This window comes from Homo sapiens, chromosome 6 (genome assembly GCF_000001405.40).
Source record: "Homo sapiens chromosome 6, GRCh38.p14 Primary Assembly".
NCBI classification, from domain to species: domain Eukaryota; kingdom Metazoa; phylum Chordata; class Mammalia; order Primates; family Hominidae; genus Homo; species Homo sapiens.
The window spans coordinates 121,122,355-121,146,912 of NC_000006.12; the positions used below are offsets into that span (position 1 = coordinate 121,122,355).

At 33.7% G+C, this 24,558-nt stretch overlaps 1 protein-coding gene across 21 annotated transcripts in view; it reads right to left on the reverse strand.

The window, feature by feature from the left end:
* The window catches only part of TBC1D32 (TBC1 domain family member 32), a 255,236-nt gene that overhangs the window by 42,861 nt on the left and 187,817 nt on the right, over window positions 1-24,558 (reverse strand). For 11 of the 21 annotated variants that reach the window (NR_104452.2, XM_011535570.2, XM_011535571.4 and 8 more), the window contains 3 exons: window positions 17,420-17,482; window positions 9,273-9,398; window positions 4,024-4,107 (listed from right to left, as the gene is read on the reverse strand). Coding sequence is in view for 20 of the 21 variants with exons in the window: in XM_011535570.2 (XP_011533872.1) it covers window positions 4,024-4,107; window positions 9,273-9,398; window positions 17,420-17,482 (273 nt within the window). In the remaining variant the exon portion in view is untranslated. The other 10 variants (XM_047418311.1, NM_001367759.1, XM_017010398.3 and 7 more) reach the window with 2 other exon arrangements.

Consider the following 24,558-nt stretch of genomic DNA (forward strand, 5'->3'; position numbering starts at 1 on the left):
AGGATGTCATGCCTATGTTCAAAACCCTGCAATGACTTTCAAGATCCTGTATCATGCTCTCCTATCTGACTTTTAACACCACCAATTCCTCTCCTTTACTCCTTTCTAGCCATATTAGTCTCCTTTGTGGCCATTTGTTAGCACTCTCTTGCCCTGAAAATACCCATATATCTTGCCTGCACATCCCCTGCTGAAGTGTGGTAAAAAAAAAAGAAAAATGCATCATCAATAAAACTTTATATGAAAACTATTTAATACTTTAATCTTCACTCCTAACTAAAACTTCCCAGATCCTTTTTCTGTTGTGTATTTCCTCATTTATCATTACACCTTTTAACTTACTGAATATTCTACTTATTTTCTGTCTTCCCACTAGAAAGTAAACTCCATGAGCAGAAGACTTTTTCTGTCACAGTGTCAGTACCTAATACAGGATAATTTGTTGCATAATGAACACATGTGTGTCTGGGACAGGGGGTAGTTGGGAGTGATGTGAAGAGTTTAGTGTTCTGCATGGAAAGAAAGTATGATGCTTGAGAAAAGGAAGGGGCAGGATAATGTAAGATCATGGGTACCATGATAATAAGCTGAGACTTTATGCTATGGTCAATGGTGAGAAATGGCAGAGGAATGAGTGGGTTAGATTTACATGTCAAAGATCACTCTGAGAGCAGTGTAAAGAGCACCTTTGAAAAAGAACCAGACTCCAAGTAGAGATATCAACTAAAAAGGTTATTATGACAACTTCTCTTGTTACAGATCTTAATGGAAGAGCTTTCTATTTTTCCTCACTCAGTATGATGTTAGCTGTGAGTTTATCACATATGGGCTTTACTGTGTTGAGGTATGTTCCTTCTATACCCAATTTGTTAACAGTTTTTTATTATAAATGATGTTGAATTGTATCAAATGCATTTTCAGCATCTATTGAAATGATTCTACAGTTTTTCCCTGGATGATCTATCCTTGGCCAAAAGTAGAGTGAAGTCCTCTACAGCTGTATTGCAGTTAATCTCTCACATAAAGTCTAGCAATATTTGTTTTATGAATCTGGGTGCTCCAGTGTTAGGTGCATGTATATTTATTACTGTTATATCCTCTCACTGAAGTGATCCCTTTACCATTATATAATGACCTTTTTGGTCTCTTTTTATAGTCTTTGCCTTAAAGTCTATTTCATCTGATATAAGTATAGTTACTCCTATCCTTTTATGGCTGCCATTGGCATAAAATATCTTTTTCCATTACTTCATTTTCAGTCTATGTGAGTCTTGATAAGTGGAGTGAGTTTCTTGTAGAAAGTATATAGTTAGGTCCTGTTTTGATATTCAGCCATTTTGTATCTTTCAATAGAAAAATTCAGTCTGTTTACATTCAATGTTACTATTAATAATAACCATTTTAATACTTGTTTACTAGTTATTGTGTGACTCCTCTCTTCCTCTATCCTTTCTTACTACCTTCTTTTGCATTTATTTTTTTCTGCTAGTATTTTTTTTGGGTATCTATTATAGGTTTTTTTTTGTTTGTGTTTACCATGAGGCTTACAAAGCCTTCCTATAGTTATTATGATGTTATTTTAAAAAGATAACTTGATTGCAAAAACAAACAAAAAAAACTATACACATTAATTCCTTTCTACCACCATTTTGAATTTTTGACTTCACAATTTATATTATTTATATTGCCTATCCCTTAAAAAATTGTTGTAGTTATCAGTTTTTAATAGTTTGTCTTTTAGTCTTCTTAGTAAAGATTAAGTGGTTAACATACCATGACTAAATATTAGTGCAATAATCATGTTAGCATCCTTTTCCTTCCATTTTAAAACTCCCTTTAGCACTTCTTGTATGTAGGTCTGAAAGTGATAAGTTCCCTCAACATTTGTTTGTCTGGGAAAGTCTTATTCTCCTTCATTTCTTAAGGATAGCTTTCCTGGATATGGTATTCTTGGTTTACATGTTTTTATTTTTTACTTTTTTTTCCCAACATTTTGAGTATATTGTCCTACTCATTCTTGTCCTGTAAAGTATCTGTTGTCAGGCATATTGGAGCTCCCTAATATATTATTTGCTTATTTTCTCTCACTGTTTTCAGGATCTTCTCTTTGTCTTTGACTTTTGAGAGTTTGATTATAATATGTATTGGGGTATTCTTATTTGAGTGGAATCTAATTGTTGACCTTTGACCTTCTTGTATCTAGTCATCTGTACATTTTTCCAGGTTTGGAAATATTTCTGTTATTTTTCCTGGAATAAACTTTCTAGCCCTTGTCTTTCTCAGTTCTCTCTTTAATTACAATAACTCAAATCTTTGTTTTTTTGATGTTGTTATATATCCTATAAGCTTTCTTTATTCCTTTTCATCATTTTTTCTCCTCAGACTATGTATTTTCAAATTGTCTTCAAGCTCACTGATTTTTTTTTCTTCTGTGTGATCAATTCTGCTGTTGATGCTCTTTATTACATTTTTTCATTTTCCTTTCAATCATTGTATTTTTCAGTTCCAGGATTTCTGGTTAATTTTTAAGAATGATTTCAATCTCTCTATTAAATTTCTCTGATAAGTTTCTGAATTGATCTTAGTGTTTTCTTGAAGTATGTTGAACTTCCTTAAAACAATTTAGAAATCTTTGTGAGATCACACATCTCTGTCATTTTATGATTGGTCTTCGGCATCTCATTTTGTCCATTTGGTGAGGTCGTATTTCCATGAATGTTCTTAATACTTGTGGACACCCGATGATATCTACATGCTGCAGAATTATGTATTTATTTTACTCTTTGCAGTCTAGCTTTATTTGTGCCTATCTTTCTAGAGGGCCTTCCAGGGATTCTAAGCAGACTAAGCAGACTGAGCCTGCGACTATTGTACCCATCTAGAGAACATTCTAAGCCCAGGCTTGCTGCATGTTTTGCAAGGCCTGAGATTGACATAGCTTTCCAGCCCAGAAAGACATGGGGAAGATCCAAAGAGAGCACTGGAGCTATGCAGGAACTCTGGCCAGGAATCAGAGTCCAGATGACTGTAAGCCCCAGATAGGTGCGCTTCCCAGCAGGTCTCTGTATAAGGAAGACTGGAGTTGAGACTAGGCCCCTCGGTATCTCCTGTAGGAAGGAGGCTGATAGGCTATCTCGTTGGCTCAGACAGGGATGTGTAAGCCAGCAGGTCTCTGCACAAGTGGGGGTAGTTCCTCAGTTGCAACGGGGGGGTCAGAGCTGATACTACGCTCCTCAAGATCTGCTGTGAGATGGAGCCTCATGTGCCTATCATGCTGGCTCAGATGTGCACACATCTCCTAGCAGGTCCCTGCACTGAAAAGACAGCTCCCCAACTGCTGTAGAAGAGACTAGAGCTGATACTAGTACCCTAGGGATCTGCTATGAGATAGAAGCTGGAGAGACATGTCTCAGCTCAGAGGTGTACATGTCACCCAGTAATTCCCTGCACAGTTAAGATTGCAGCAGAAGAAGCCAGGGCTGAGACTGGGCCCTCTGAGTATCTGCTGTGGGACACAGGCTAGCATGCCCATCACACCGACCCAGACAAATGCATGTATCTTTTGTGAGACATAGTGAGTTTGAGGGATTCTGTGGCATATCCAGGTGATGTTTACTTACTAGGCCACTGGAAATACAAGAATAAAGCCTATAGTAGATCTTTGAGTGAACGATGTAAATTTTGAAATCATCAATATATGAGAGATAGGTAAAACAGTATAAGCAGAGGAGACCACTAGGGAATAAATGATAGAATCAGAAGAATAGAAGACATTGCTTAAGGCAAAACAACTTTTAGTGGATAGAGAGAGAAAAAGAAAGCTCAAGAAAGAATCACAGAGTTACAAGGAAACCTAGACATTTACAAAGAAAAGAGGCTTAATGATATCTGGAATGTATATGGCACCAAGTAAGAGATTGTTAGGATGAGAAAACTGCCTATCTGTAATATCATTACACATCTCCATTAATTATCTAGTTACATACTGAGTCTTTTTCAAACTTCACAATGTTTAAAATGTACCTGTATACTCCACTGAAGGGAAGTAGCATTCAGATGGGCTTTCAGTGAGATGAAGCACAAATTTTTCAAGTAATTCTATTAAGGCTGTAATAAACAAAGGAATAATTAGGATATTAAAGGTCAGAATAATATGTGACAATGCATCCTTAAATCACAGAACTAGTAGGTAAAAGTCATCTGAACTTCACAGATACACTCTAAGGGAGTTCAATTCAAATGCGTACTGTTTTAGTATTCATAACACTGTTTCTGATGCAAATTAAACTTTAATAGCTTAGCTAAGAACCTAGTCAATATAAAACTGAAAAAGGATCATCTGTTTTCTTTAGATCCTCTAAGAATTATTTCAGAATTTGCTAAATGATTTCAAAACTGAAAAAAAAAATCACTAATTATGCTATAATACCTTACCTTTGTTCTTTATGCATAACAAAAAAAAAGTATTAGTGGGTTCTAAGGCTAGGATCAATGCATAGCTCATTCAAAATCAGGACATATTATATGTTTTATATGCTTTGCAACTGACGGTATCTATTCAAGGCAACCAATATCAAAAGAAGGCTTGACCTATCTGGCTTGGAAGTGATAAAATGGTTATTTTCTAGGCTGGTTTGATAATGCCACTAGGCTTGCATCTAATACCCCTGAAATGGATATAAACAGGTACAATATAATTAATATGCAACCCAGAGTTTGTTGTGGTTTTGAGTTTTTTGTTGTTGTTGTTGACAATAAATAAATTTGTAGAGTCAATGTTATGCTTTAAATAACAAGTACACTTTACTCACTATGTAAAATTGTCCCTTAATTATATCCAGGATATTAACTCTAACCTATATTAACTAAATGAACCCTATTCCACAAACAAGTACATTTTAAGAATATAATTCTTGGAGAACAATTAGTGTTCAACAGGTGAAAAGTCCAAAATCAAAGAGGAATAACATATGCTTTTCAGCAATTGTAGCTGACAAGCTCTATCTCATAATATTTTAATGGCTTAGGACAAAAATGAAATGATTTTATTCATTGAACTCTATTCATATGATGATTTCAAAGTTGAATAAGTATTAAAAGTATAAGAATCCAATTGTCAAGGGTCAGAAAGGACATCAGTATTGTAAGCTATTTATGTTTATAGTTGCTTAGACTGGTTCTATCTTCATGTGTAGACACAAATTTTGCCATATTTATAAAAATGTTTCAAGTCTCTCTTCTATGAATTAACAAATTAAATAGCCCTCAGGTGAGAGCATTTCAATTCTATGTGTACAAACTTCTTTCTTTATAAATCACTTAATACTGTCTCGAGATTATAAATTTTACAGAAAGAACAATGTCTTGATGAAGTTCAGATATAATCATTCTTAGTTTAATGATAATAATTTAAGATGCAAGATATACATTAGTAACAAAGGTTATACAGAAAGACACTTTTATAACTCCAAACATAATGTAATTATTTTTACTTTGGCACAACCATGTTTGCTACACGCTATGTATTTAAGTAAAGTGCTTGAGTTAATGGGAAAAGACAAAGCATATTGCTAAGCAATTCTTTGAATCCTGTGCCTGAGATTAGGTCAGAAATACAGAAAATTCATTACATCTGTGAGGGAACTACACACAAAATAATCTGATACTTAAGAGTCACATGACCAACTTCATACGTAGCAAGCCACACTATTTTCTGGCAAGTACTGATATTCAAATATAATGTTATTGGATCAGTACATTAGAGGATTACGGAGGAACAAATTCTATATTGCATAGGTAAAAATGACATTACTAAAGTACTCCAAGAAGGTTCTAGATTTCTACTGATGCCTATTTATTCATTTTGCCCAGCAACCCTTATGAACAGCAACATATATTTTCAGGTATTTTGAGGGATAGGCTGTACTCATGTAACAATGCTAAAAATTGATCTATATGTGGTCATTGAACCTATGACTCTTATCTCAGTACATCTTTCTAACCAATTGTAAGTGTAGCTGAACTACATAATTACTAGAGTGGCTACTTATCTCAGTATGACCAACAGCCTCACTGTCAACCCACTGAAAATTCCATTAACACAAGGAAATTAATTCATGTCACAAAACAATCCTTAATTATAAAACAAATTAATTCTAGGATGTTACTGTCCAGAAAGTAAACTATAGAATATTGTTCCTCTAAAGTAAATTTTTACATTTTAAATGACAGATCTGGAATTTCTATAGAGGGTTTTAAATTATGGGCCTTCTCCCTTTAATCACATCTATTTCCTGGGGTAGGAATACGACATGAATAGTCTATAAAACCAAAATTTATAATATTTATATACTAAGAAGAACACGTGGGTTTTCTGCTGAGAAAAAACTAAGGCAGACTGTTCAAGGATACTTGGGTATTGATTCTACTTTCTCCTTGGGCTTTGCCATCTGCTATGGTCTGAAGGTCGGTATCCCTGAAAATTTCTTACGTTAAAATCCAATACATATCCAAACAGATAGTACTCAGAAGTTTTGCCTTTGGGAAGTGAGCAAGTCATGAGGGCTCTGTCCTCATGAAAGGAATTAGTGCCCTTATAATAGAGGCTGAAGGGAGCTGTCCTTCCCTGTATTTCACCATGTGAGGATGTAGTAAGAAGGCACCATCTTTGAAGTAGACAGCAATTCCTTACAAGACACTGAATCTGCTCTTGCCTTGATCTTGGTGTTCCCTGCCTCCAGAACTGTAAGAAATAATTTTCTAATGATTATAAATTACCCAACCTCAAGTATTTTGCTTTGGCAGCCTGAAGAAACTAAGATATCATCATAACAATAACTGATTCCAAAACTAGGACAGCTCTATGCTTTGAGTACCCATACAACCATTCTGTTTTTCACTTTCAGTATAGTATTCAAGAAATTACACTTTATTATAAGATAGTTTTGTGTTAGATTTTGCCCAGCCATAGGATAACTTAAGTATTCTGAGCACATTTAAGCTAGGCTAGGTTAAGCTATGATATTCAGTAGGTTAGGTATGTTAAACGCATTTTCAACTTATGATGCATTTATTAGGATGTAGCTTCATTGTAAGTTGAAAAGCATCTGTATAATATTGTACTGAGTGAAATGTCCAATGAAATAGTATAGTTTATATTGACTGATTTTGATTAAAAATAAAAAGTGATAATATATGAAGGATGAAATTACAGGCAAATTTTAGCTCTTTATTTTGCTTATTTATAATTTCTGATTTTCCTAAAATAAACATGTTAGATAATTGTCCAGTTGCTAAATGATGAATACTTAAAGTAGTGGCAGAAGATATGAATGAGAAAGAACAAATTAGAGACAGACTTAGGAATAGCATCTGTAAGACTTGATGACTAAGAGGACAGGTATCATTCAGGGGATAAAAGGAAGAAGTCAAGGAAAATTAAGTTTCTCCTTTCAATGATTGAGTAGATACTATTGGTAATAATCAGAAAAGAGAAAGCAACAGGAAGAACATACTTCATTTTATACTCTCGATGGTATCTCACACAGGAAAAACCTAAAAATTGGGAGCACTAAAATTTAAACAAAGGGGACAACAGGATTAAATTACAAGAGCAAAATAAAAAGAAACTTAAATATAACCAAAGGTAAATTAGAAATCACAAAAACATATCCCTTTTTTAAAAAGAAGACTCTTATATAAGAAGACTTTTTATAATTATGAGTAATTATGTGGAATCACCTAATGCTCATTGCTAGAGACGAGATTTTGCCCCAAAACTATAGCCCATAAAAAGGAACCAAAAACTTTTAGACTCTATTTTTAAGAGTATCAAAGTAATGAATAGGCAGGGCGCGGTGGCTCATGCCTGTAATCTCAGCATTTTGGGAGGCTGAGGCGGGTGGATCACCTGAGATCAGGAGTTTGAGACCAGTCTGGTCAACATGGTGAAACCCCGTCTCTACTAAAAATACAAAAATTAACTAGGTGTCGTGACATGCGCCTGTAATCCCAGCTACTCAGGAGGCTGAAGCAGGAGAATCGCCTGAACCCAGGAGGCGGAGGTTGTAGTGAGCCAAGATCGCACCATGGCACTCCAGCCTGGACGACAGAGCAAGACTCTGTCTCAAAAACTAAACAAAGTAATAAATAACTGAGGTCCAGAATTGTGGAAAGTGCCCTAAGATACCCAGATTCCAAAGAGAACACAGTTTTAATGGTAATGTTCTACATGTTTGTCCTGTTTCAGAGGAATGAGTAAGAGTTAAACAGCTGATACTTCTCTTTTGTCTTACTATCCCTGTTAGAGATAAACTCAGAACGACATACGAATTTAGTTCCTGTATTTAAACTGAACATCATTCCAGTCTGCTGCTTTCTTAATTTGTTGTGCAAATTAAGAGTTTATATTAAACTGTGCAGCCCACCATTTATATTAAATATTCTCTATTATTCAATCAATGGTAAATATATACTTAGAATAGATATTTTATAAATATCTGGGGGGATAAAACATAGTTTAACTGCTCACTTTATACTCAAACTTTGGAGAACAACATTTGATTTCTTAGCCATAAATATATAACATTATTCTCTGGAAATATTTCTCCAAGAACTAACAATATAAAAACTTTTCTATGAAAACTATAAAGCATTGCTGATAAAGTACACAATACCTTTTAAATTACGGTTTTCAGGAAATCTAGCTTATATTGACATTAGAACTTTTTTCTAAGCACTTCTTTTTACATTATTCAAAATAAATATGTTAATTTAAAAAATGATGATTTCAGAAAACAAATGCGCAAGTAGATAACTGAATACAAATAAACTTGTTTGCTAATTTAGAAAACATAGCTGTTCCCTTAAAACAAAATTTCCTTAGGAGTCACTAAATTTACTTCCATGAATATAAAAGTGATTCAGAATAACAATGTTGATTAAAAAATCAATAAAATTTCTAAAAAATATAACAATATGTCATATTCAGGTAAAAACTGAATATGAAAAAAAAAACCAAGCAAATTGCTACCTAGTCTAGTTTTGCTCACCAAGACTGTTTAGACAGTTCCAAAAAGAAAAAAACAATGCTTAGTAGTGTCTCATATTTTAATTTGTGTTCTCTCAGGATCCCAATTTTCTCAGAAATCAGCAAACTTCTGGATTTAGCATTATGTTTTCTACATATGCCAATACTAATCTTTAAGAACCACAGATTCTATTAATATAATTTTCATACATAAGAAAACCCACAATGGAAACAATGTACTTACCCTCTCCACTGATTATATCAGGTTTGGCTTTCATCATTTTGCAAAATTGTCTTTGGCAGTTTTCTATCCATTCAGTTTGTTTATCAGATATTTTGAGGCATAATAAAAGCTTGTCAAGATCATTGTCTAATCAGAAAGATAACATACTATTATAATAAGACATGCTAGATATACTGAAAAATTATTAATGTTAACTATGTAAACAGTTGAAAATTCCATATGGAATACATATGGCTTTCAAAGGAAAACAGATATTCTTCTGTAATTACATCTTATACCATCAATTGTTTGTTACATGTATTAAAAGTTGACAACAATGAATTACTGAATTATTAAAAGCTCATAAAATGGATTGTGATTTGTAACCATAATTCTTGAATAGTCTTTTTCTTATATGAATATGGCTCATTACTGAGTATCTGTTTTAATAGACAGCGTGAACCTTAAAATTTCACTATGTGGACTGACAGGAACACTACACTCATTCCTCATGTACTTTCAGATACAATTTTTTATTCACTTCTTTAAAAAGCAAAAAGAAAGCATAAGTGTAAAAAATCTTTAGTCAATCATTTATTCATCTTGGAAAAAATATGCTGCTGAAGGGGTTAAAACATGCTATTCTGGCATATTGATTATTTAAATTAAAGACACTGAAAAACAGCAAGTGCAAGATCACGTTGAGCTTCGTGTTGTTTCTCTATAAAGAAAATGAAATTCTCATGTGAAAGACACTCTCTATACTAGAAGAAAAGACAACATATTTACCTTCAAGGATGAGAAGTTGAGACCAGAGAATACTTTGCAAACCTTATTAAAATGACTTATCTTTTAAGCCTCCCACATAATTTAGTCACATTTTCACAGTTTATTATTCTTTGTTCAACTCAGTATATAGGTAACTGCTTCTTTGAGTCTTCATTTCCCTATGAGAACTCTCATGCCATGTAAAACTTGTATTATGCTTTTCTCCTGTTAATCTGTTATTTCAGTTTAATTCTCAGATTCTGCTGGGACCCAAAGAGGATGGAGGTAGAGATTTTCTGCACATAAACTGAAGATAATGAATAGAGCTAAAGAAAGTATTTATGGCTAAAATGTAACTTTTCTTCTAAGTGAACTCATTAATACATAGCAGATTCCATTTAATTGCATAGCTTTAAAGGTACTTATACCCATGAGATTTTATTTTTAAAAAATCAACGAATAATATAGTAAATGAATAGTTAAGTGTTGTTAAAAAAGATATATGCATATGTATTCATATACACATATACATATGTAAAAATTCAAAGGTGACGAAAGAGGCAAAGATGTTCTCTTATTTTCTAGAATAAAATGGGAGAACCAGTAGCCAGATTAATTCATACCTTTTTCTTTACCACTTCTCTTGAAAGAGATTTTGATAAAAAGAGAACAAGAACCTTTTGAAATTATAGGGTTAAAGGCTTAATTGTTTCTGCTCTAAATTATGGTATGGGAAGATTAACACTACAAAATCATCTACCTAAGCTCTATTTTAGGTTAATTAACCCCACCAGCAAGATACTAGTGGTAAACGTGATACTTGAGAGGGTTTCAGCTAACAATGTCTTACTTTTTTCTTAAAGAAAATTATAATGATGAAAACAAGTCTTTATTGTTCCAGGTTTTAAAAATCAAAGAAGCTTTCCAGCATAATACAACTATTTAAATTTAACTTTTCAGCCCAATTTTTATAAAATTCCATTTACTATATACAGAAGTCCTCCTGTGTGGATATAATAATCAAGACAATATCACTGCCCTCATGAAATGCACATGTCATATAAAGCATATGCATGTATATGTGTGTATATACATGTAAACAAACAGAAAATAATACTGTAATCAAGGTATGTCATTCCTGTGATGTAAAATTTCAGTGTTATTTAGCCCTAAGAAAACTGCTACGTATTGCTGCATGATCCTCATGATTATCATATATAAAATCAGATTTATGTAAGTATTTCCCTATTTGACATTTACGTCAGAAAAACCCTTTTTATACCAAAGCTACATACATACTCTCTCATACAAACACATGAATACACAGATACATACACCAAACACATGTGGACTCACATAAATACACACATAAAGCAAAAAGCTCTTTTGTTGAAAGCATATGTAATTCTGCTATTCAGTACTAATCTATTTTATTTGAATACCAAGACTACAATGATACGTTTCACAAATAGCCTCTGTCAGAAGCAATAACTAGAGAAAAATTATCAAGCATTAAATCAAAAGAGAAAATGATTCTTTTTAATAAAAACACTTAAAACTATAAACTCATAAAATTTCAACACAGCTAATAATTTTACTGAAAATTATGTTATTGCTAACAAAAAAGTTTTAATGTTAAATGTATCTTGACAAGAATTAGGTAAAGACTTAATTCGACATTATTGAAATTGAATTTTTATTGTTTTCATTTAAAATATCCACATTACATATTGCCAAGAATAAAATATCTACAGTCTAATAAGAAACACTAGTGACACATGATTGCAAAGATAATGCAGTTTTTTCATCTTTGTTTCCTCCTGTTTTCTTCTTCTACTCATGTGTAACTCCATCTTTTACCTCCTTCAAACAAAGGATGTTACTACCTCCTTCAGAGGACATCCATATAGCCCTTTCATAGGCTATCTGTTATTTATAAATCTGTTTTCTTTTTACTCCTCCCTCCTCTTGCTCTCCATTCTCTCTCCTTTCACACTTGCTATTCTGTTTTGCTTTCTCATCATCTCATTCTAAGGAAAAGAACACAAGGCACTATAATTGTAAACAGCACCGAGGCAGCAGATGTGGTATGCGCCTGAATCTACCAGTTGGTAGACAGCCTGAAGGACCCAGTTTAGATAGCTGGAAATTGGATTTGAGGCAATAAAGAAATGCTGAGCTGAAAACAGGCTGACTAAAAGACTATTAGAGAGACAGCTTTGTACCCTGCATTATACTTCTGGCTACTCTTCCCCCAGCCACCATTGAGAGTATATGCTTTACAATTTGCATTACTCAAAGTTAAAAATATGAAATGATGTGATATGATATTAACTGAAAAACATGTATATCTGTGATATTACTGAGTTTGAGGGGAACAATAAATAATTCATTTATCTTCTCCAAATTTGGGACCAACTGAGAAGCCAATAGGTATAGATAAACAGAGTTCAAAGTTATCAGTGTTAGTATATAAACAGCTAAATTAAGCATCATTGCTTGCATCTACTGCCACATGGCCTTCTAGATGTCTTCCCTGAACTGAATACCATAAATCTATTCAGCCATAGGCAGACAGAGACAAAGGCCCCCCTGACTGTTCTTGCTAGAAAAAGTGCAAAAATAATCTAAAGACTGGCTAAATTAAAAGTGCAGCCTACAAGTAGGCTAGCCCATGACCTTCTATTCCTTCTTCCAGATTCACTTATCAGCCATTCCTCTTAACTTATGCAGAATGAGTAAGGAAGTCCAGGGAGAGGCCAGTGGTATTACTCCAGCAAAGGCCCTTTGATATGGAGACATGAGGTAAGGGAAAATGAAAGCTCCTCCATAATAGATATTTTATATGACAATTCTAAATTAGTGACTGTGAGTGTAATATGAAAAATACATAGAATTCCATATTTCCCAAAATTTATATATGGAACATTTCTATATTTATAATCAGGAAAAAAAGAATATTAAAAAAAGTTTTCCTTCTGGCCACGATGGAGGAACTAGGAATAGACTTGCCTTCTGCTGTAAATAACCAGACTGGATAAAATATATCAAATAACTGTTTTCAGACATTAGCCAATGGGCAGTGCAGGACTGTAATGTCTGAGAAAAGGGAAACCAATGAGGTGAGCTTTATGGTTGTCCACTTTCTTCCTGGAGGTTTTGCTGAATTAAGGAGACAGGTGTCAGATTTCAAAGAGATTAAAGAGGCTAAAATTTGTGGATTAGAATACTGGAGAGAAAGAGCTCTAGCAAACTGGCTAACTATTTGTCAAGTTGGCTGCTGATTAATCAGCTGTGGAAACTAAGGGTGAAATTTCACAAGGCTGAGAAAGCAACAGCTGGGGGTTATAAACTGAATAATTCCCAGAGCACACCTAGAGTTACAAGATGTCCAAGTTCCAAACAGAATGGAGAGTACTAGTTAACTACCTGGGTTTTCCACAGAGGTCCCAGAAAGGTCACACCTTGGTAACAGGTAAAATTAGTCTTAAAGTAAGGCAATTATACATCCACCCTAACAAAAAAATGGAAGCCCTGACAGTCAAGCTGATCCACAAGCAACTTAGATGCCCACCAAAAAAATGTCCACCACTCCTTAAGGAAAGGCAACAAAATTTAGCACTCAATGTAAAGCTAATAATGTCTAATGCCCCCCAAAACTCCCCTAACATGAATAAAAAGAAAGAATGTGACTCATAACTTGCAGATACATCAATTAACAGATTAATAGACACAGATTCACAAAAGATTGAAATTATCAAGGACATAAGAGCAATTATTTTTAGGGATTTAAAGAAAACACAAACCAAAAGTAGATGTTTAAACAAACTGTGGTTTTTCAATACTGCCATCTCAGTAAAAAGAGACAAGTGAATGGGACATGTAACAACCTGGGTCAATCTCAAAAACATGATGCTAAGAGAAAGGAAACAGGTACAAAGAATGTATCCTATGTAATTCTATTTGTATGAAATGCTGGAACAGGAAAAACTAATCTTATAGCAGTGGTTCTCAAGTGGACATGGTTTTGCTCCCCAGGGAACATTTGGCAGTGTCTATAGACATTTCTGATTGTCACAACTGAGAAGAGAGAGGGAGAGTTTTATTGGCATCAAGTGGATTGGAGCCAGGGAGGCTGCTAAAAATCCCACAATGCACAGGAAAATCCCCCCCTGGCAAAGAAAAGCAAATTACCCAAAATATTAATAGTGCTAAGACTGAGAAGCCCTGACTTATAGTAACGAAAAAAATTAATGGTAGTATGCAAGTGGGTGGAGAGAAGCTGACTGCAAAAGACAAAGGGAATTAATGTGAGATCATGAGAAAATGTTCTATATTTGATTATGGTGGTGGCGATCTGTGTATGAATATTTCTAAAAATTCAAACTCCTTTCTTAAAACAGATGTATTCTGTTGTATATAGAAATTTTATTATATACACATGTGTATGTAAACAAGTATGTGTATGTAAACAAGTATGTGTATAATTGAAGGTTACTTAAGTGATTGAAATTAAGCATACTAGTACGTTACTAAAATATGAGCAGTTATAGTTCATAATTAGTTATAAAGTCTATATCAGAACTCACTAAGATTTAATTAAAAGTATATGCATGTGTAAAATGATTCACTTACAAGAACTCTAATGACTATATTATGGTAAAGTGTTTTAAAGTATACATTTTTAAAATCCTCATTAATATGTCCTGATAAGAGGTTCTGACTGCTTTCTGAATGAAATACAGGCTCCTGTAATGAAATGAACATTCACTTCTTAAGACTAAATAAGAAAGTAATTTATATTTTCTAGGTGATTAAATATAATAATCCCTTTTAAACTCACAATGCTTTATTTTTATAGCAACCATGTCTACATTCCTCTAAAAGTGCAGTATTATTTCTAGAGACAGAATATAATAAATGATGTCTCAGTATATCCATTCTATATCCAGTTATGATGAAGTCACCATGGAAAACTACCAGTTTGTTTTCCCAAGAAAGGTTTGATTTATCTAATGAGTAAGGTAGAGAAAGAAATAGTCTTCTTCTCTATATTCTTTAAGACCACTATGATTTATAGACAACTATGAAAAATTGGAAGAAGGTAAAAAAAAAAAAAAACAACTACTTTATTCTCTGTCCTTACCACCACTGAGGAAAAGGAAAACAAAAAAGAACACATCAAGTTTCATGTTTAAAAAATCGATTGATAGTTGAAAATATTTCAAAAACTCTAAAATTCTTTGTTATGGTAAGCATTATAATCTTTTTATATTTGGGGATATTATATAATTATTTTCTCAGGTCATACAGGAAAAAAGAGTATATTAAAAATGTAAGATTATTATAGATGATGTAGAAAGAGAGACTATACAGAAAGAACTTCTGTATAGTTCTTTCATTTCAAGGGGAGGGAAACAGTAAGGTCGACATAAATATAAAGGAAAACATGCAATCTACACAGAAAAAGTTTAATAATTACTTTCTAGGATGTCAGTCAGTAATTTTGAGTGCCCATTTTTGAAATAACAACTGACATTTCTAAAGGGAGAAAAAGTAAAATAAAGACTTTATAAACTAGCAAGAGATTCCTAGGCTTAATTTAGATAGCCAACATTGTATTATCCTGAAGTTTATTTTTGTGTTTCTACTTACTTTCTCTTCCTCCATTTAGATTAATGCAGTCAGCATTTCACTTTACTCTTACCATAATAAGCAAGGAAAAACATTGGAGTGGTCCCTGAGAAGCAATTCTACAGAAAACTAATACAAAGAATTTATACATCATTCCATCTATAAATTTGGGAGTATCCAAATTCTGACAAGTCTCTATTTTGTGTGAACAACTGTGGATTAAGGTATGTCATCCATATCTTACATAGATTATTCCTTATTTTGGATTTATCATCCCACGTTTGCTTTTCATTAATATTTGATAACTAAGCACTTACTATGGGAGAAATCGGTGGAAATAAACAAATGAAGAATTAGTCTTCCCTTGTCATCTTACTGCACCTGCACTAGTAGAAGATCTATTTTCTCTGCTATAGATAGATATGACAGTAAAAATACATGAAAACTAAGTTTTACTTATCAAAAGAAAATACTTATTCTGATTTTCTAGTCATCTCAATAGCTGCAGCTCAAGATTTACTACAGAGGGGAAAAACCATAATCTCAGTCATACTACCACTTCCCTCAGTTCATAGGTTGATGTCAAATAAAAGTCAATTACCTTTATCTGCAGAAAATAAATCTTAATTCCAAGGTTAGAAACAATAAGAAAAGAAAAAAGCATGAGAAAATGCCTGACTTGACATAAAGGCCTAGATAAATATTTGATAAAAGACTATATCAACAAAAAGTATTTATAGACTATATGTGTAAGACAGAATACAAAAGGCTTTTAAAATAAGCACACACAATATCTGTCATCATGTTATATTACACTTCATATAGTACCATATTATTTTTCTTTTTTTTTTTTTTGAGACGGAGTCTCGCTCTGTCGCCCAGGCTGGAGTGCAGTAGAGCAATCTCGGCTCACTGCAAGCTCCGCCTCCCGGGTTCACGCCATTCTCCTCCCTCAGCCTCTGGAGTAGCTGGGACTACAGGCACCCGCCACCACGCCTGGCTAATTTTTTTTGTATTTTTAGTAGAGACAGGGTTTCACTGTGTTAGCCAGGATGGTCTCCATCTCCTGACCTTGTGGTCCGCCCGCCTCGGCCTCCCAAAGTGCTGGGATTACAGGAGTGAGCTACCGTGCCCAGCCATACCATATTATTTTTCAAAGAATTTTTACTCATGCCTAGGGGATTCTATTTTTAGTTGATTGGGGGGAATTAGTAATCCTAAATTTTACATAATTCATCACACTTGCAAAGGCAATCCAGTCCAGTCATTCGTTAAATAGGCAATTTTCATTATTTTATCAAAATGCAATTGCAATTACAGTCCATCTCATTCTCCCCTTTTCTCTCTTAAAAAGTTTATTTCCACATACTATGCAGGTAATATTCCAATTTTAAATCTTTACTATTAGAATTGGAGAATGGATTGTCATCAATTTGTAAATGAAATGGCAATAATTCATCAGAGACATGAACGGAGACTTAATTTCTGAAAAGGCAGAAAGTATCAGCAAGAATCAACACCAGTGAATAAGGATATATATCCAATAAGAACAAGAAAAATTGTTAAACAAAATCAGTATAGATTAATGAAAACTATCTTGCTAAATTAAGGATATTGTTCTAGTGAAAAAAATAGACATTTGTAGTTAAGAAGGCTAAATTTCAACATCTTTTAATGCAAAAAAAACCTTAATATCAGCATAAGGTGATAAAATATGTAGGCATCCTAAGATTATAATTATAAAACCCAAGAACTTTTTTACTCACTCACTGAACGCTGCATAGCTCCAGAGACACAGAATATGGTATTCTTGTTCTTTGGCCCCATCTCTGATTTAGAAATGTTATCTATCATTAGTTTTGTTATTAACCAAAATGCATTGCAACAATTTTCTAACTGTTCTATAAACAGTACTTTGCAACTATAAAATATTTAAAATAAACTTTATATATAGTAATACCTACAAAAGGAATACCTTTTCCATTCCCCAAAATATTAATGCATTAACATTGCCAGGGGTTTGTATTTTCACTTGTCTACTTTTATAAAATGCCAAAACTATGCAAATAATACAGATGCAATATAGTGGCTTAGCATCATGGTCTTTACCTAAGAGCATAATATGGTTTTCAAGGACATTTGACTCATACATAGAACCCAATGATTCAAGACATATTTTATACTGAATTCATTCAGAGCTGAAAATTTACAAATGATGAAAAACAAGTTCTAACTAGAATTCGCTTCTGTTTTATATAATATATACCTCCCCCCACCCTGATCTCATTTAATTTGTAGTAAAAAAAATTACATCAGGTTGGGGCAAAAAAAAAAAAAGATACTATAGAGGGATATTTATATTTTACATATTATTAACTTTAAAATGATCTGTTTTCTCATAGAGGAATAATATCATCTGAAACTATCTGGCTAAAAGTATTGGAATGATCTGACTGTAAAGATTTTAATATTATTTGGTATATTACATTAAAAGGAATGATTATAACCATATAACTTACTCTTTTATATAGTATTTGAAAAAGAATATTTTACCAGGCAGAAAATCAATTTCCTATCAGATAAGCAGAAATGTGATGGAGAAGGTAGTCAAGTAAGATACTGAAGCTATAAAAGACTAAATTTGAAGTAATCGCAGACTAAAAGGCTGTACATTTTTTAGTTATTTTTTTCAATTGTGAAAAAATAGGATGTAATGCTAACAATGCACACCTTTTATGTGCCATAAAAATGTAAAGTACCACTTGCTAAATGATGAAATAACTATAATAAAGGTGTCTACTTCATGAATAATATATATGGAAGTCTAACTCAAGAAGCTTTCTAACTGCAAACTTTTGCATACTCTAGAACATGAGTCAAATCAGAGGTTATTCCAAATATGAGTAAAAATTCCTAAATTTACTTTAGATTAGCCTGAACAAAAGTTTTAATGTCCAGTGACAGAGTCGAAGAGAGAGCTTGATAATGGAAAAAATACAGGAGAAAGAAATCCAGCATTGATTATTTACTTTTTCATTCAATAAATATTTATGTACTGCCTACTACTTAAGGCAAACAGCATCTTTGCTTCATAGAAATTACATTTTAGGGTAGTAGACTATACATAAATACATAAACTCACTGTAAGGTACAAATACTCTTAGAGAAATAAACAAAGGTCCAGAGAGAGAAATAAGGAAGAGAAGAAATATATTTTAGATAAGGTGGAGATAACTTCTCTGAAGAAGTGACATTTAGACTAAGCTCAAAAGGTTTAAACAGGACACCCATGGGAAGAGTAGGAATTAGTATTCCAGGAAAAGGGAGTATCAAGAGCAAAGGATCAGAGGCATAAGCCTAATGTCTTTTAAGGAGTGAAGTTTGCAAAGCACTTATCTCAAAAGAAACTTATGTCTAGAATACATAAAGTGCTCTTACAACTCAATTATTAAAAAACAAATAACTCAATTAAAAATGGGCAAAGTGATGGAACAGTCACTCTCAAAGGAAGATACCAAATGGCCAAAAAGCACATGAAAAGTCTTCAGCAAAATACAAATCAAAATCACAATGAGATACCACTTCATAGCCACTGGAATAGTTAGATCAAAAGGTCAGATGAAGAGATATAGAAAATAATTTATGTCAGCTGCTCAAATGATTAAACATAGATTATCATATAATCCAGCGACTCCAATCCTAGGTATACTGAAGAGAAATGAAATGCATGTTCACACAGAAACTTATGCATGAATGTGTAGGAGTTCGGTCAGGGTGGTGGGAAAAGTTGTAAAAAAAAAAAGTTACAGGAAAGACACAAACCTTTTTAAAAAGCCGGAAGGTTTTGCAAAAGCTTTAGGAAAAGGTTATGGCTAAAGGCAGCCTAATCCTCTTACCTTTAGCTAATAGCAAAAAGCAAATAACAAGGGAATGTAGAGGAGTTTATCTAGATAGCTTGTTTACTTATGTTGTCCTAAAACCGACTTTTGATCATTCATGTGCAAGACTGCTCTCTACTCGAGGGGTCAACAATGTTTATTACCGACAAATTGTGTTTGCTCCAAGCCTTTGTCATTAAATCTGTACTAAATAAATGCGAGCATCGCCAGCTTAGGGGGGCTGCAAACTCTTTTTGACCCCTAGTGCCGGCAGTCCCCTAGCCCGCTCTTTCACTGGATACCTTTGTCTAAGTACTCCTTTCATCTGTCACTCAGCCAGTGTCTGCAGGGCAGACTTGGCATGAATGTTTATGCATAAGATCAGAGAAAGGCAATCTAATGCCAAGTGGCATGACTGCCAGTAACCTTGTGAGTCAGCGCCACTTCGGATGTTCTATTGGTCTCATTAGTAGCACTAGAAACATATAAAAAATGACCAGAAAAATTACTCTCCTCTTTAAAGATAGCAGCCTCAACTGAGTAAATATACATCCAAAAGGTTTCTTGATAAAGATAGAAATTCCATGATAGTAAGATAAATAGGATATAGATGTAATTTAGAATGCTGATTATTTTATAGGTCATCCTGAATAAACATTATAAAAGTATTTTTAAGTAATAAAATGGATATAGGAAGCTAGATGGGGAAATAAGAACAACAAACATCTCATCTTCTTGAGATGTGTCTCTGTGATGCTTTCAATGACTGGAGTATGCTATCTAATTCCTCAAGCTATTTTTAATTTTCTATATGGAAGTTCTGAATTTCCCATACTCCTCTGAGAAAGAAGTCCTCATTCTGAGCATGCTGAAATGCAACATAGTAGAGTGGACTAGCCAATGGGGTAATAACTCCCGGGAAATCTAATTTTAGCTCAGAAAAACAAAAACAAAAGAAATTAAATTACTATTTTACTACCTTCCTGTTCCATACAGAAGGGAATTATGAGGCAATCTCCAGTAGTTCACCTTAACAGCTCCTAACATGCTAACTGGTACTTGCTTTTGACCATAGTATGACTATTCTTTTCCACCCAATCTGCTTGCGTCTTCTTTGTCTTTTGCAGAGGCAGTAAGTTATAACACTAGTACATATAACTAGTGCTTATATTATAGTACTAGCTATAACATTAGTACCATAATATAAGTTACAACATTAGTACGTATTATACTACCTATCTATACCCTCAGGTAACAGAGAAATGATATTCTAAGTAGAAATGATATTCTAAGTAGATATTCTAAGTGAATTTTTTGTGTGTGATGATCCATACATATACTCATATACATGTATTCAAGTGTACATATATACACATATGTATACATACATACACAGAGAATGTATAGATCAATAGCTTTTAAATGGCCACTTACATTTTAATATGATGACCCTAAAAATGTTCATAAAGAAAAACAATTGAACCAGATGATGTCTCAAAATTCTTATTTATAGATGAAGAAGAATCATCTAATGGTTAACACTGATGCCAATGAGCTAACAAGAGGCAATCTAACAGATGAGATGCTAACTGTAGCAAACAGAATAAATCTAGAAGCTGGGAGACAAATGAAGAGGATGCCACCATGTGCACACAACCGAAGTGATTTTTTTCCCACAACAATGAAATTATATCCCAAAATTGTGCAGTGCAAATGATGACTAAACTAACACCTTACAAAATCTGTGAATCATTACATGTGAATCACAAAACAAGAATGGAAAGTAGATGACTCTTGCTGTTAAAATAACTTTGGTGTCTTAAATATTGCTACCTTAAGCATAGTATTTTTTAAAGTGCACTATTAATGTTTAGCTTTATTTAACGGTATTTAACCAGACACATACCTGTTAGAAACACATTTAGCTCTATTTTTTTTTTCATTGAGTTCACAGAAAAAGCATCACTCTACTCTCTTAGGTACAAAATGAAGCTGGACATGCTTCTGACTTTCCCATTTTCTGCTAAGAGTATATGGTCAGTGACACAGATATCAGCAATATCAGAATGAGATATTATGAATTGACTAAATCCCTGTAAAAATATCTTCCTAGGCTATCTATTGCTGCCTAGATCATGCTGTCTTCCTTAACAAAACCACAATAATATCAGGATCACTCTTATTATGAGGAAGTATCAGGTACTAGTTTCAAATTGGGAATAATGTCTTATTCAAACACTTGTGCTTTAGAAACAGAAAGAAAGTAAGAGTTCCTATCCAGTATGGTGGGAAAATAAGCAATCAAATAAGGCTTAAGATAGTACTACACTCCCTAAAACAGAGCATATGCCAGTAAAGATGTCACAAATGTGTTAGGCCTTGTAAGCTACAGGGAAGTCACTGAAGGATTTCGATTAGAAGAGTAATATGATCTAACCCATGTTTCAGCAGCATTCCTCTGGCTGCTGTGTTGAGAATAGACTAAACACTTGGCAGGACATTGCAGCAGGTAAGAAATGTGAGTGGTAGTAGATGAGTGAGAGTGGTTTTATTTTAGATATGTAAAGATTTGCTGACAGATTAGATGTGGGGTATAAAGACAGAGACGAGTGCATGAATGCCGTTAGGTTTATTATCTGGAGAACTGGGAGCAAACAGTTGCCATTTCTGAAAGGGGAAAAAATGCCAAAGGAACAAATTTTGGGGGAGTATTAAAAATTTATCTGAGACATGTTAAGTTTGATATATATATTCAACTTACTAGGAGAAATGTCAAGTAGACAGTTTAATACATGAGATATGAGTTCAAGGCAAAGATAAGTATTAGAGATATAAATCTGAGAGCCATCAGCATATTGGATAGTATTTCAGTCATGAGATCCTCACAACAGTAATGCAGCTAGAAAAAAAGAAGACAACTGAGAACTGACTATGGGGCATTCCAAAGTTTAAACGTTAGAGAGATGTGAAAGATCCAACAAATGAGACAAAAGAATTCATCAGAGATGCAGGAGGAAAACCAAACAAGAGTATTTTCTGGAAGTCAAATGAAGAAATTGTTTCAAAAAAGAGGGCAGGTTTGAGTGATACTGCTAGGTAATGAGGACTGAGATCTTACCAGTGGGCTGAAAGCCGGTGGAGTATTAGGGTGAAAGCCTGATTAGCTTACAAGTGGGTCCAAGAGAGAATGGAAAGAGAGTAATGGGAATACTCAGCTAACTCCTTCAAGGAATTCTGAAGTAAAAGGCAGGCCAGAAGTGAGATTTTAGTGAGGGGAAAGTAGTCCAAGAGAAGATATTTTAAATATAAGAGAATAAACACCATGCTTGTTGGCATATCAAAAAGATCAAGTAAAGATGCTCCAAGCCAAAACATGATAATAAAGAGGAAGATCAGGCTTTAAAAAGAGAGAAATCCTATCATTTGTGACAACATGGATGAACCTTGAGGACACTGTGTTTGGTAAAATAACCCAGGCACAGAAAGAAAAACACTCTATATAATCTCGCTTATGTGCAAACTGAAAAATTTAAACTCATAGAAATGGGGCATAGAATGGTTACCAGAAGCTGGAGGGCAGGGTATTGGGGGAGATGGTCCAATGATACAAAATTTCAGTTAAATAAAAGGAATATGTTTTAAGATGTCTATTGTACAACATGGTGACTATGTTATTAACAATGTATTATATATTTGAAAATTGCCAAGAAAGTCATTTTAAATATTATCATCAGAAAAATAAGCATGTGAGATTATGCATATGTTAATTGGCTGAATTTAGCCATTCCACAATGTACACATATTTCAAAACATGTTGTACATGATAAATATATAGAATGCTTATCAATTAAAAAATAAATTAATTTTTAAAATTGCAGTGGTAAAAATCAGGTTCACTCAGGAGACTGGTGATAATATAGAAGTCCCTGGTCAAGGAGATCTACCTGAATAGGATTCAATAACAACCAGAAAAGGGTTAATGGATTAATGGTCTGTATAAAGTTGATGAAAAGTGATATTAAATGACTATATGATTTGCAGAGGTTAAAGAGTAGACATAGGGCAAGTAGAACAGATAGGTGTGGAGGCTCTAGCTGGAGAGAGAAAACAGTTTAAAGCCTTGAAAGTAAACAAAGCTGGGGTAGGCAAGATCAAAAGTGAGGCAATGCTAGTTGAAGACTGATGTGAAGGATGGATGCCTTCCATCATGCTATGCTATAGATGCTAAAAATCAACTGTATTAGGGTTCTCCAAGAAACAGAACCAATAGAATTTGTACATATATAGAAGGAGATTTATTATAAGTAACTGGCTCATGTGATTATAGAGGCTGATGAGTCCAAAATCTACAGTGTTGGCCAGTAGTCTGGAGATCCAGAAATAAGGGAGAAAAGAAAAAGGGAGAACTGCTAGAAGCAAAATCTTTCAGAAGAAACCAGATGGAATGTAGCGCACAAATGGAGAAATTGGTTTTCACAAGTCACACTGGCAGTTCCTTCATGATAATAATAGAAAGCCTAAATTGGCACCGATGTAGTTAAGTGAGTTGATATGCCTCAGGAACACATGGAAGCTCTTTACTGGCTATTTCTATATCATTGATAAAATAGGAAACATGGCTATTAACTAAACGAAGCATGGGGAAGGAGAAGAAGGTTTGAGAAGAGAGAAATTTTGAAAACAGTCATCTAGGAGACTAGAAAAGTAACCTGGAGACACACCATACTGGGTATACTGGCAGCAGTACATTCACGCCTAAGTCAGTCATCTGCAGTTATATTCTGGGTTACACAGAGAAACTATTATTACTCCTTTTCCTGAATCATAGATAAGAGGAGAAAATAAAATTATACTTCTCTGAGCACTGATTCCTAGGAACTAATAATATATTTTTCTACTCAAAAGTGTTCATTTAACCTAATTTTCTCATTTGTATTTTTTAAATTTTAGATTCAGGGGAAATATGTACAGGGTTGCTATATGGGTATATTGAGCGACAGTGAGGTTTGGGATACAGATGGTCCTGT